The 13,024-nt window shown below is 40.3% G+C and overlaps 1 protein-coding gene across 13 annotated transcripts in view; it reads left to right on the top strand.

The window, feature by feature from the left end:
* GLIS3 (GLIS family zinc finger 3) overlaps positions 1–13,024 on the top strand; it is a 666,339-nt gene that overhangs the window by 400,566 nt on the left and 252,749 nt on the right. The window lies entirely within an intron of this gene.

Genomic DNA, 13,024 nt, shown 5'->3' with positions numbered 1-13,024 from the left:
AATGTGGATTTTTCCCTTTGTCACTGTCTAATTAGTGGAGACACCTGAGAATTCAATTTTTTATGGGTTTTTGTTGTTGTTTTTGTCAGGGTCTTGTTTGTTGCCCAGGCTAGAATGCAGTGGCATGATCGTAGCTCACCATAGCCTCAAACTCCTGGACTCAAGCGATCCTCCCACCTCAGCCTCCCAAGTAGCTGAGATTACATGTATACACCACCATGCCTGGCTAATTAAAAAACAAAAATTGTAGAGATGGGGTTTGCCCAGGCTGGTTTCAAACTCCTGGCCTCAAGAGATCCTCCTGCTTGGGTCTCCCAAAGCGCTGGGATTACAGGTGTGAGCCACTACACATGGCCAATTTTTTATGTTTTTAACATTTTGGCAATGTTCTTCATTAATAATTCCTCAGCAATTTTATAATAATAATATATTTTCCTTTTTTCATATTTATGTTGATTGAATTTGTAAGGTCGTGTATGTAAATACACAGTTTTTTATTAACATACACACACATATACATTTTCTCTTAAAACGTTTGTAAAGGAAAAAAAAATGTTATCCACTCTTCAAGATGAGACTGTTTAGACATCTTCATTTTTCAGTTTTGAGATATACCAACATTAAACAGCAATTTTCAGAGGTGATACGTGTCTTGTTAGTACTGTTCCATTTATACAATGGATCAGTGCATCCCCACAAAACCTGAGTTTAAACTTCCACACTGCAGTTGAGACAGACATGAATATTTGGATTATTAAGAAACATAAAAAACTAGGCCACATCAAAATATTTGGGACTAGTTCATAAAAAATAAAAGTAAAGCAAACATTTACAGTTTGTTTTAAAGCAAGTTGCTGGGGAAAGTCTTTCTACCAGCTTTGTTTTAACACAGCTCATGGATATAGATGTTTCTGTCAAAATTAAGTCATTGGTAACTCCATCTGAGGAGCTGTCTATTCCATTTTTTTCTCGAGGAATGAAGACAGGCCTTTTGGGGTGAAGCCCTTTGGACTGGCATCCTGCCATGTAGGATTTTGGCTGTGAAGTATCTCAACTTTTGAAAAGAAATATCCATTTTGGCCTTGGCTTTAAAATGTGGGACTTCATAAATGTGAAACTACATAATTTTATTTCCGTCATAGTAAAAGGCACTAAAATTTACAAGGAATGCCACGCTAAACTGTAGGTTCCTTGAGGAGAAGGGACAAGGTCACATTTATTGCTTTACTCTCTGGCATTAGGAATACATCCAATATATAGTTGGTGCTCAGTAAATATTTATTGAAGTGAATTCCATCTACAATGGGGATTAGCCAGTTTTAAGAAATAAGAAGATAATTTTCCTGTGAATTTTGACTTGTAATCTTTCAAAGTTGGTTTAAGGACAGACACAAGATTAAATCACTTAGGACCAATTTAAGATAAGGAAAATAAGGGAGGATTGTACTTCTGTTGGCTGTCATTCATCTCTCATTTCAGTGGGCACTAATCAAATGAGAACATTTATTTTTCCAACCTTTCTCTCTTCTTTAATTATTGGATTCACCAAATAATTATTAGCCTAAGCATATGTTTTATGCCAAGGATTGGGCTAGACCCACAGGACTGCAAAGGTAAATAAAAACCAATGCCTTCTCCCAAAAGGAGGCAGGTCGGTAAATTAAATTAAGTGTGGCAGGTGCCCCGATAGAAGGATTGAGGTACATGATACTAATCTCTCTTTTTTCATCTCCTTTCTTTCCCTTCTTCTTTATTCTTTCTCCCTTTCAGAAGTTGAATTCTTGTAGGTTATGTTGGGGTTGAAGACAAACCCAGATCTGCCATGGCTATCCTCACACCTTGTCTAGCCAGTGAGCTGAGTTCGACTATGGCAAAGGCATTGAGGAGTTGTTAGTGCATGAATGACATGTGGAGTCTGTCTAGGGAAGTCTAAAGTTCATTGGGGGCCAATCCATGTACATAACTAACCATAATGCGAGATGGACAATAGAAGTGAGGTAACCAAGGTATGGATAAATTCCTGTGTTGAGGGGCCAAAGAGAATAATTCCTTGTGGCTGTGAGTGGGAAGAAACTGAAGGCTTCATGGAGGAAGCGGTCAGGCCTGGACTGTGTAGCAGGATTGGTACCTTACCCTTAGTTCATGTAGGAATATGAATACTAAAAATTTCAGTATTAGGTACTCAATGAATATTTTTTCACCGATATGAATTTTATGATGATGTACCACCTTTCCCCCTTAAATCTGTTGTTTTTTAACTTTTCATGTGGGTGTTAATACAACTCTATTTTTAAGCTCTATGAGGCCAGAGCCCACATCCTGTACTTTTTGCTTTTCTCCATATCATGGGGTTTTCAAACTGTTCCCTGGCACTAAAGACTCTAGTTGGGGTATTTTCACTGGAGGAGGGAGGCCTTAGATCTATCAGGAAATTGCCGATTGTTTTCCTGTTTTGTTTATGAGGCTATCATTTCAGAATCCATTTTCCTTTTCTTCTTTCATCTCAAAACTTTTTTCATCTTCACTCAGTAGTAGCTCTGTACAGCTTTGGATGTGCATCTATTTAAGGCTCTCACTTGAAAGTATGTTTTGCCGCAAGTGGAGAAGGAATAATAAATGTTTATCCATGGCCTAAATAAGGGATGAAAAAACAGCTGATACATTTTTATAGCTGTTCTACCTCTGTACTCATCTGACCATAATCACCTAGTATTTATTATTATTACTTATTAGTAATATTTTAGGTTTTGTCTTCTTTGCCTCCACTTCACATGATTTATTGGCTGCAAACAAATATAGTTATTCCTTTTATTTTCATTTCAGACTTTGCCATGTTTTCAGGGCCAGTCCAACTCAGTTAAACAATTACAAGTTGACTGCCACATGTACACATAGCACTAAACTAGGATTTTGTAGAGGATGCAGAGGTGAAGAGTAGGGAGCCTCTGCCGTCTACGGGTTCAAGGTCCAATGTGGAGGACATGTCTCTAAATCATGCCGTTATCAGTTAGACTGTGGAGAATGCTACAACTGAAGAACAGCAAGGCTCTGTGGGACTTGAGGGGAAAAAGAGATTAATCTCCACAGGGGTTATTCAAGTTCATGGCTCTCTCTAGTTAGTGAAGTTGTTCATGATGCTGAAAGTCCCTCCTGTGCACAGTGCCCGGCACATGCTGTAGAGCCTGCTCAGCACTGTTTTGACAAGTGGTACATTTACATGGTAAAAAAATCTAAAACTCTCCAAAAGGACATACAGTGGAAAGTCCGTCTCTTAACACATTCCGTCATCCTTCCTCTCTGGAGACACATGCTTTTCACAATTTCCTGTGTCTGACTGATTGTTAAAGATTTGTTTTCTGGAAGATCCTTTTTCAATTTTATTGAATTCACCCCAATGTAATAAACATTCTGCATATGTGCCAGGTGCTGTGTTAGGTCGTGGGAATACCACGAATAGGATCCTGGTCTCTGAGAGCTCACAGTATGATATACATAAAGTTATGGCTTGGAATATGACATATTCAGCGATGTGATGGAGATATGGGGAAGTGCTGTGATAACTCAGAGGAGGGAATGAATGACTCATTGCCCCAGGGTGGGGTTGGGGAAGTTTCATAGAGGTCATGATTCTTCAGTTGGGACTTGGGGGATGAGGATTTCACTAGACTGAGGTGGAGACAAGTAAATTACATGCCAAAAGAGTGATATGTTCAAAGACATAGAATACTGAAAATACATGTCTGAGTAGGGTATGTGCAGTGGTAGTTACATCTGGTGGTTGAGGTCAAATTGTGAGAGACATTGAATTTCTGATCCTGTGAAGTTTGGACAACTCGTGTAAGGACAAAGAAATGGTTAAAAGCACGTGCACATGGTAGGCACTTTAACATAGCTGTCTTTTAGAAGGATAATTGTATTAGGCCATTCTTGCGTTGCTATAAAGAAATACCCAGGACTGGGTAATTTATGAGAAAAGAGGTTTAATTTGCTCACAGTTCTGCAGGCTTTACAGGAAGCATAGTGGCATGTGCTTCTGTGGAGGCCTCAGGAAGTTTCTACTCATGGCGGAAGGGGAAGCAGGCGACATGAACATCACTTAGCAAAAGCAGGAGCAAGAGAGAGAGTGGGGTGCCACCATTTTTAACAACCAGATCTCATGAGAATTCACTGACTATTGCGAGGACAGCACCGAGGGGATAGCGCTAAACCATTCATGAGAAATCCGCCCCCGTGATAAAGCTAGTCACCTCCCACCAGGCCCCACCTCCAACAGTGGGAATTACACTTCAACATGACATTTGGGCAGGGACAAATATTTATAATATGTCAATAATTTTGATGGTTCTCAGAAGGATAGAATGGGCAGGGGAGAAAGGGTCAGTGTAGAGATCAGTGGGGATTTTAATTCTGGCTATCACGTGGACAGGATAAAATGAGAGGGTGGCAGTGGCCATCAAGAAAAGTGAGGTCTGAGAGATACTACAGAAGGAGAAGTGGTGAGCTCTGCTGGTACAGGAAGACACCAGCAATCTGGAGAGAAACAAAGCATCTTCAAAATGCAGAGTAAGAAATGAGAAGAAAAAAGAACCCTTAGAAAATATCAATGCTTAAATGGAGGAAAGATTTAAAAAAAAAAAGCCATCAGTGATAGAGGCAAACTGATTGATTATAAAGGCGGAATGACAGTAGAGAAAAGCACAGTGGTGGGAGTTTGAGCAAGGAGTGTTCCTTAGTGTCTGACCATTGCTTTACTTGACCTGAAGTCAAGTCAAGATTGAGAGAGAGCTTTTTATTTATCCATTCCTTCATTTGCAAGCTGTTTTGTTGTTTCTGTTGAGTATATAATTTTATGTATAAACACTAACAAGATCATTTTCTATGTGCTTTTTTTTATTCCTCCCAAAAGTTTTTGCATTGCGTTGTTTGTAAAACTTGATAGCCACTTTTCATCTAGGATGGAGTCACCCTTATCTGCGTCTTTTTGACCTGCATCAATATGAATGCAAGAGGCTTCTTTAAGAACACAATGCCAAGCATTTTGGAAGATTCCTGTGCATGGATTGAGATGTACAGATTAATGGCCACAGTCCTAACGTGGTGTTCTAGAAACAGCGTCAGTCCACACGAGGAGGAAGCCAAGGAGTTTGTTAGGTCACCAGAGCTCGGAGCTTGAAGCGCAGCTTTACTGTACGGCATGCTTCTGTTGTTTATAACTTTCTGTAATGTGTGATAACAAAGAGCAGTGTGTGGTAACAAAGAACACTCTGTTACCACGAGTTATTTTAACCACCATCCTTCGGCTGCTCAGCCTTTTTTCCCCTTCTTCCTCACAGCTCTGTTTCTGGCTCCATGTCTCCGTCACCCACTTCCACCTCCTCCCCAGCTGCTCCTCCTCGTCTCCTTGTGTGAAGTCCTTTCCCGTGGCTGTTTCTTCTCCACCACGCGAACCTGCTGGAGGCTCTTGGCTTGATAGCATTAGCAATTTGCCATTATTTTTTCCTCTCCTTGCGCATGCATTTCTACCAAAGGTTCTTCAAATGTAGAGAACCGCAAGATAAGAGATATCCCACAGGCCCCTCTAAGTTTAAGGGGAGGCTAGGAATTTGTGTGTGTGTGTGTGTGTGTGTGTGTGTGTGTGTGTGTTAGAGAGAGGAAGGAAGGAGAGAGAGATTACACATTGCTGGCATCATATCACTCTGCTGTTGGTTTGAGGGCTTCGTAGTCTTTTTCTCCCCTCCCAAAGGAGTTCTTGCTGTCTTTTTAATACTACCAAGCCAGAAACACAGAATGGGCTTTTTAAAAACAGACCTGGAAAAGTTGCTGTGTTTTGTTCTAAAAATCCTGGCCTCAGACTCTGAATGGTAACAGAGCCTTGAGCAGCTCCATCTGAACTCCTGGAGAGAGGCAGGAAGTCATCTGCAATAGTGTAAATGGTGATGAACCCAGAGTAGTTAAACAGAGGCAGTTTCTTTCTCTAGAGATGATTTCTACATGCGTTGGCTTTTATTCTGGCATGAAGTAGCAAGTGAAACCAGAAATTATTGATGTAAGCAAATGGTACATAGGGCAAGAGTACTGTAAGCTTAGCTGGTCATCTTGCATAGATTTCAAGGTAGAGGGTAATTTTTATAGCTCTCCTTGCACTTTCTGCAGTGGATTTTTTCTTGTGTTTTTGGCTTGGTTTATAAAACACACCTGAGATATTTTTCTTGACCTCATTACTTACTCTTAAACATTGTCATACACATCTTCAGTGGTATAAATCATACCAAGAAGGAACATAAAAAATAACTCCGATTTTAACTAAAAAGTTCCTACCTATAGATTGGCTGTATGACCTATGGAAAGTAAATTAATGTTTCAATTTCTCAGGTATTTTTACCCATAGAATGGGAGAATTGAACAACATAAATGGCAACATCTTCTCCACTTCAAACATTCATTAGTAACAGGACAAATTCAAGGCTGGGAGCTGCATTTCACCTAGTATTTAAATTCCATGTATCTAGTAGCAGCTACCTAGAGGGCTGTGGTAAGGATTATGGACTGCCAGGCTCAGTGAAAAGAGTAGGGTATTGATTAGTGATGTCTGCTTTGGTGCAATGATGAGGAGTAGTGGCACATGTTTTGTGCTCTATTGCTGCCCAAATTCTAGTAAGAGGGTCCACAAGACAACTGTGTTTTCATTAAACACACATAAACACACACACCACTTGAACCAAATTGTGGATGAAACCACAGGCATGAGTTCTATTCCATTTTCAGATGATTCAGCTTCAATTAAATCAAATTTCTGTTCCCTTATTTATATATCTCAAACCCAAAGGGAACAGAGAAAAGGGTTTGTGGATAACTCAGTTTAAACATGTCACCACTTCAGACCTAGGTCTTCTAAAAACTTTGGCACTTGCAGAGAACAAGGTACTAAATTACAGCTAGTTACCCATCTAAAATAGCATTGAGCCCCAAAACATAACTTTTTTATGACCATGGGCCTTGGAACAAAAAGAGGTGTCGAAAAATATGTATGGGAAATGGTACAAACTCCATCTTAAGTCTGTTTCGAAAGTGAATATGAACAATTTTTAGAACTACTTTAGTATGTCTGACAAAATTGTGTTTCCAGAATATGCAAGTAAAGAGTGGAGAGTTACAAAGCAGTGTTTGTAGAATGTTAGATAAGATGGTGAAGTTAATCAGATTTCAGGGTTCATCTTGACCCACTGCCTCCCGGGACACTGATCAAAGTTTCGTGAATCCTTCTGATGCAGAGTTATTCATTAGAGTTCTCAGCACATAATTATGGACTGTCAGAAGATTTCAGCTTCGTGTAATAAATGAGAAGCATGCCTGCAGCTTGCTGAGGTGTTAGCTTAATAGTCTCATAAGATAGGTTGTTTTTCTTCTCCCTCAAGACCTGAGCAAAATGGCTTATATCTTGCCCACCCCATTTCAAATGAAGATGTAATGTTTAGGACTTAAATTTCTTTAAAAGTTTATTTCTTAGGGGAAGAAACACAGCTTCTCATTTTATTTCCCTTTCCTTCGTTCTATCTTCTTTTGAACTGGAAGTGTAACAGATTTTGTTTTTATGCCTGAATCTTGGTAAGGATGTAGAAGTTTTTCTTCTACCACACATAGTTATATACAGTAAAATGTTAGTAAATTGGTGCTGATAAGCAGTGCCACATTTAAATTGCTGCCTGCATGATGCTCTTACTCGGAGATGCAATTATTTCCCTTGGTTTTGACAAGATGTCAACTGTGATATGCACAGAGCACAAACATATCCTAAGACACCATAGTGCATTAGAAATCTTTCCAGAGGAAAACTCAAGTTATGTGTCTGGGGCTCCCATTCCGATTCTGTCCTCTGTCTTTGGATGTTTGTTTATGTTTAGATTATTAGCTGATTATGCATATGAAATGGCATTTAAGAAGCATGAATTTTTCTATTTAGTGATCATAATGAACAGTGGCTTCTAGGAGTATTTTGCCTTCATTTTCAAGTTTGAGAATACAAAAAGGAGAACAATTTACCATTAGTCATTTTCTTGGTAATGATTGTAGAATTGCTTGTATATAATGGCTTCTGGAGGGAAATTATGGTGGCTAATTTATGATAGAATTGTACTGCAGTGCAGCTCACTGTTGAGAAAACAGAGATGCATCCGATTCAGAGTCTGGCAGTGAGGAGTTTATAGTCTAGTTGGGGAAATGTATTAGTCACGATAGGCTGGTTGCTATTACAGTCCCTCCAAATCACAGTGGCTTAGCACAATCAAAATATATTTCCAACTAGTTGGGAGGGCTTTACACGTGTTTATCCAGGGACCCAGGCTCCATCCACCTTAGGTTCCAGTATCGTGGGGGTCCACAGTGTTTTCTCCATTTAGCCAGATAAAGAGCAAAGAAAATGAGGATTCCTCATGAGAGGACTGACAGCGGGTAAGTGGCTCTCCTCACATCCCATTGGCCAAAACCCAGGTACATGGCCAAATGTAGGTGCAAGGGAGGCTGGGAAATGTAGTCTAATTTACTACACAGCTGGCAGCCTCTGCCATTGCAGTAAGTATATGCGACAGGGTAAAAAGGGTTAATGTGGTGAGGACAAAGGACTGCAGAGGCCTGGCTAGGAGGGTCCAGATGCTTAATAATACTTTGTATAGAAGGTAAGTGGGTCATTTTTGTACCAGCTCTGTCTGGTAGTCATGCTTCCCTCTAGCACAGTATTCCTTAGTGATGTGCAAGAATTTGAGTGCCTGGCCTGCACTGAATATGAAGCTCATTGTGTAACCTAGGAATAGCTAATGGCCAAACAGTTCTGGGGCAGATTCTACCCTCTACTGCCGTAATCAAGGACAAGCCAGGCAAGACTGGAAAAACGCCCTGTGGAGTAGAAACCCTGCTCATGAAATCAGTTGCCCTGTGTTGCTGCAAGTTGACAAGGACTGTGGTAAGCAGACCCACCTCAAACACCGTTTCCTTGAGAGGTGAAGGGGGTGTGAAGGTTGTACGATGTACGCCCGGGGGTCAAGATGATCCAACGGAAGGCCTGGCTGCAGGTATTGCCACTGAAGAGCCTTGCGTTATCTGCCCCCTCACTTTATCTTTCTTTGATATTTGTAATGTATTTTAATGCCCCTAGACTTCTCTCTTTTGTTGACATTAGTATTTCAGTTTTCAGCCAACTACAAAATATGTCCTACTCAGGGCCAGGATTAGTGTCAGAAATCTAAGGGGGTGCCAAAAGCTCAATAATAAAGGTAAATAATATTTTAATGTAATATTTAATCAGTATTAATTTTTAAAATCCTTGGTGAACAAAATATCAAAATTTTAAATGGGGTAGAATACACATTAGTGATTTATCCTTTCCCTTAGCTCCAGTATGGCACAACAGGGCAGTATTAAATCATCTTGTCTTTATTTAAAATTTTGATAATTTGTTCATCATGCATTTTTTTGTACTAATGTTGATTATTTTAAATACTGCATCAAAATGTTTTTTTATCCTGATTACTGAGTTTTTGGAGCCCCCTTAAATGATTCACCTATGGGGAATACATCATGCCTCACCCTAATCTGAGCTCTGGCACTTACCTCTGTGTCTCTAGTGCCTAGCACAATACCTGAGACATGGTGGGTGCTCAGGAAATGCTTACGAATGCAAGAATGCTGGAAAAATAAATGGGAAAACTAATATGTCAGGTGTCTTAGAATTGGAAGAAAGGATAGTATAGGAACCACAGCACACGGTTTTCAACCCAGTCATAAAGCCAGGGGGGTTCCAATATAGTTAGTCATTGAATTTGACAAGCAGGCAGATTCCTGCACAAACACTTTTACAATAGCATTTTCCAAATGGATCCTGTATGTCACCTTCTTAAATCATTGTGCATATTTTCCACCCTTAAGGAGGAGAGTATTCAGAGTATCCTTTCTTTTTTCAACAAGTGTCTGTTAAATAACTACCTTTTTCTTATTTCTTCTATTTTCTTCCCTTTTTTTTAAATTTTGAGAGAGCAGTGTTGATGTTTACTTATCAGTAGCTCTGATTCATTGAATTTCTCTTACATGTTGGGTGTTGGGTGCTTTGAATGATTACAGCAACCTGTTTCAGGTAGGTTTTCTTTTTTCTTTTTTTTTTTTTTTCACATCCATCTTTCAAAGGTAGAAAAGAAGGCCTTTCCTTATTTTGAGTGGATTTAAAAGTAGAATTTTAAGCTAGGTTTCTCTGGCTCCATAGCCATGCTCTTCCCAGCACTGGGGACATGCTTGGGGATAAAGGCATTCCTCTGGTTGTGACTTTAACGGCATCCCAAAGGCAGAGGAACAGAATGCGGACTTTGAAACTGCTCTGACCTCCGCTGATGACAGGAACATTGCTGGACATGCAGGTGAGAATCTTATCAGTGGGATGAACTGCCCCAGACTTGTAGAGGCTTTCAGGTGGTGGGCTCCCTTTTTGCTTTCTTCGCTATGGCTTGCAAATCCTGCAGTTTAAGGAGGCAGCATACCTCTCAGAGGAAGTACAAGACAGTCTTTTTCCTAGTTTGCCTTTGACTAGGATCTTAAGCCTGTGAGACTCTTTGGGCTTCAATCTTTTAATTTGCAAAGAGGGAATAATTCTAATACCTTTCACTTACCACCCATGTTGACTATTGTTGAGTATGTGCAAGGCATAAATGTCATCTGTGCAAAATTTAAATGTTTGGAATTTACTCCAAAAGCAATGGGACCCTATTTCAGGGAATCAGAGAAGGTAATGATGATACAAGCTGAAACCAAACCACAGTAGAATGTGAGTGCAGGAAACCCTCCTTTAGTATGAAATATCTTGTTTGCATTAAGCTGTTTTACCTTGGAAGAGTTTGGTTCTATTTAGCAGTTTCCTAAAGAAGGAAGGCTGTATTTTCAGCCAAAGACCTGGAAAACATTTGTTTTTAAGAAAAGGTAGCTTAATCATTTTTCTGATGTTGTGGGGTGGGGCGGGGGACAGAGGGGAGGCATTTCAAAGCACAGACTTCTCTTATTCTGATGATCCAATGCCCTCTCTGAGTTCTAAAGTAGCTAAACACATTCATAGTAGTTTCACTGAAAGAAAGGACAGCCTGGAGCCAAAACTTTCATGCCAAACTTTAAGCTAGGGCAGAGTTTTATAGCCATGTTAGAAACCTCTGAAAGAAGGGGGATTATAGTGAAAAATGCTGACCTGTCCTTAACCTAACAGCAGGAATGGCAGCACCACAATCATAATGGTTTCTCCACCGCTTTACCCTGCCTGGCTGGCAAAGATCTCTTGGCTTCCTTTTGCGGCCCGATCTGTAGATGGGACAGCTAGGTAAATACCAGGCAGCCTGTGGTGGTTCCTGTGTTTTGCTTGAGCTGTTACTGGGCCACATAGATCTCCAGAGAGCCTTGAGGCCATGCAAGAAGAATTATATTGTTACAGAATCAGAAGATTTGGAAGTGCACTTGAGTTGTGTAGATCAGAAATTGTCAGACAAACCCCTGCTGAACCCAGGGGTTTCCCAGAAGAATGGGTCAGGAGCAGGACTTTGCAGAAGCATCTGGTGGAATGGGGCCAGGCAGGTAGGGGCAGGATACTCCATACCTCCATTTTAGCCAAAGCACCACTGCTTTGATACATATTGGGTTTGACATAATATTATATTTGCAAAAAGGATTATATTGAAAAAAATGATTTTAAGACCACTGGTCTGGTGTAACTTACTTTCGGTCCAGAAATTTCTTTTACAAATTCTTAGGCCAGAGATAATTCATTCTCAATTTACTTAGCTCCAGCAATGGGGGACCATATCATTCAGGGTCCAATGAAGAGACTGGAATCACACCAGTCATTTTAACAGAGAGCTCACTATAAAGAATTGTGAACTAGGTATCAGAAAACTGGGAAAGTAAAAAAGGGAAGAAAGTGACTGCATAAAATAGCTATTCCCTCTTGAGATAGGAACAAAGGAAAGAGATTGGAATTATTAAAACTTAGAAGCTCAGAGGAAGGTATGGAGCTGGGAACCAGATTTCTGAGGAAGAGACTGCTAAGGAGGCTGGTTCTGGGAGTGTTGGCAAAATGACAAACTGGAATCCACTGCTGCTGCCAAGATGAAGAACCTTTAGTGGAGGGACGCTGACAAGAGAACAGGACCAGCCCGCCCTTTCTCTTTCCTTCACTTACCCCCCCGCGCCCCCTGTTGGTAGAGGCCGACAGGGACTACCCTGGCAAAGGAGAAATATTGTAGATTTCCAGTGTCTCAAAGAACAGCATAGAAGGATATTTTCTTAAGCTGAGATGCAATAGCTTAACGGCCAACCCAGGGTTTCCTGTTCTGTTGTTGAATCAGCTTTAAATGAGAAACAAAGAAGCAGACAGAAAAACAAAATCTCTTTCCTTTTTTTGAGGAGAAGTATCTTTCCTTTCTAAGTTTTATTTTCTCCAGGCCAACTATGCCCAGTCCCTCTCCTGTCTCTAAGACATGCTGCATGGATGTTTTGGTTGCCATCCTTTGGACAGATGCCAGTTTCTCAGCATCTCTTTTAAATGTGGGTCTCAATTTGTCAGTGCCAATTGAAAGCCTTAAGAATGTGCATACTTTCTGTATTAACAATTACACTTCTAGGAATTTATCTTTATAAATTTTTGTCTGCCTAGAAATTAAGCTATAAGGTTATTAATTTCAAAGTTGCTGACAATTTTTTTAAAAACATGGAAAAATCATAAATGTTCAATAATAGGGGATTGCTTTAGACTGTGGAATACTCAGCAGATATCAATGACAAATAAGAAGAAAATTGGACATCATCGTTGTTATTGTTTTTTTAGACAAGGTCTTGGTCTCTCACCCAGGCTGGAGTGCAGAGGCTTGAGCTCAGCTCACGGCAACCTCCACCTCCCTGGCTCAAGCCATCCTCCCACCTCAACCTCCCAAGTAGCTAGGACTACAGGCATGTGCTTCCATGCATGGCTAATTTTTATATTTTCTTGATAGAGACAGGGTTTTGC

Source organism: Homo sapiens, chromosome 9 (assembly GCF_000001405.40).
Source record: "Homo sapiens chromosome 9, GRCh38.p14 Primary Assembly".
Lineage (NCBI taxonomy): Eukaryota > Metazoa > Chordata > Mammalia > Primates > Hominidae > Homo > Homo sapiens.
The sequence above is the reverse complement of the archived record's forward strand: the minus strand, read 5'-3'. Positions and strand labels throughout refer to the sequence as shown.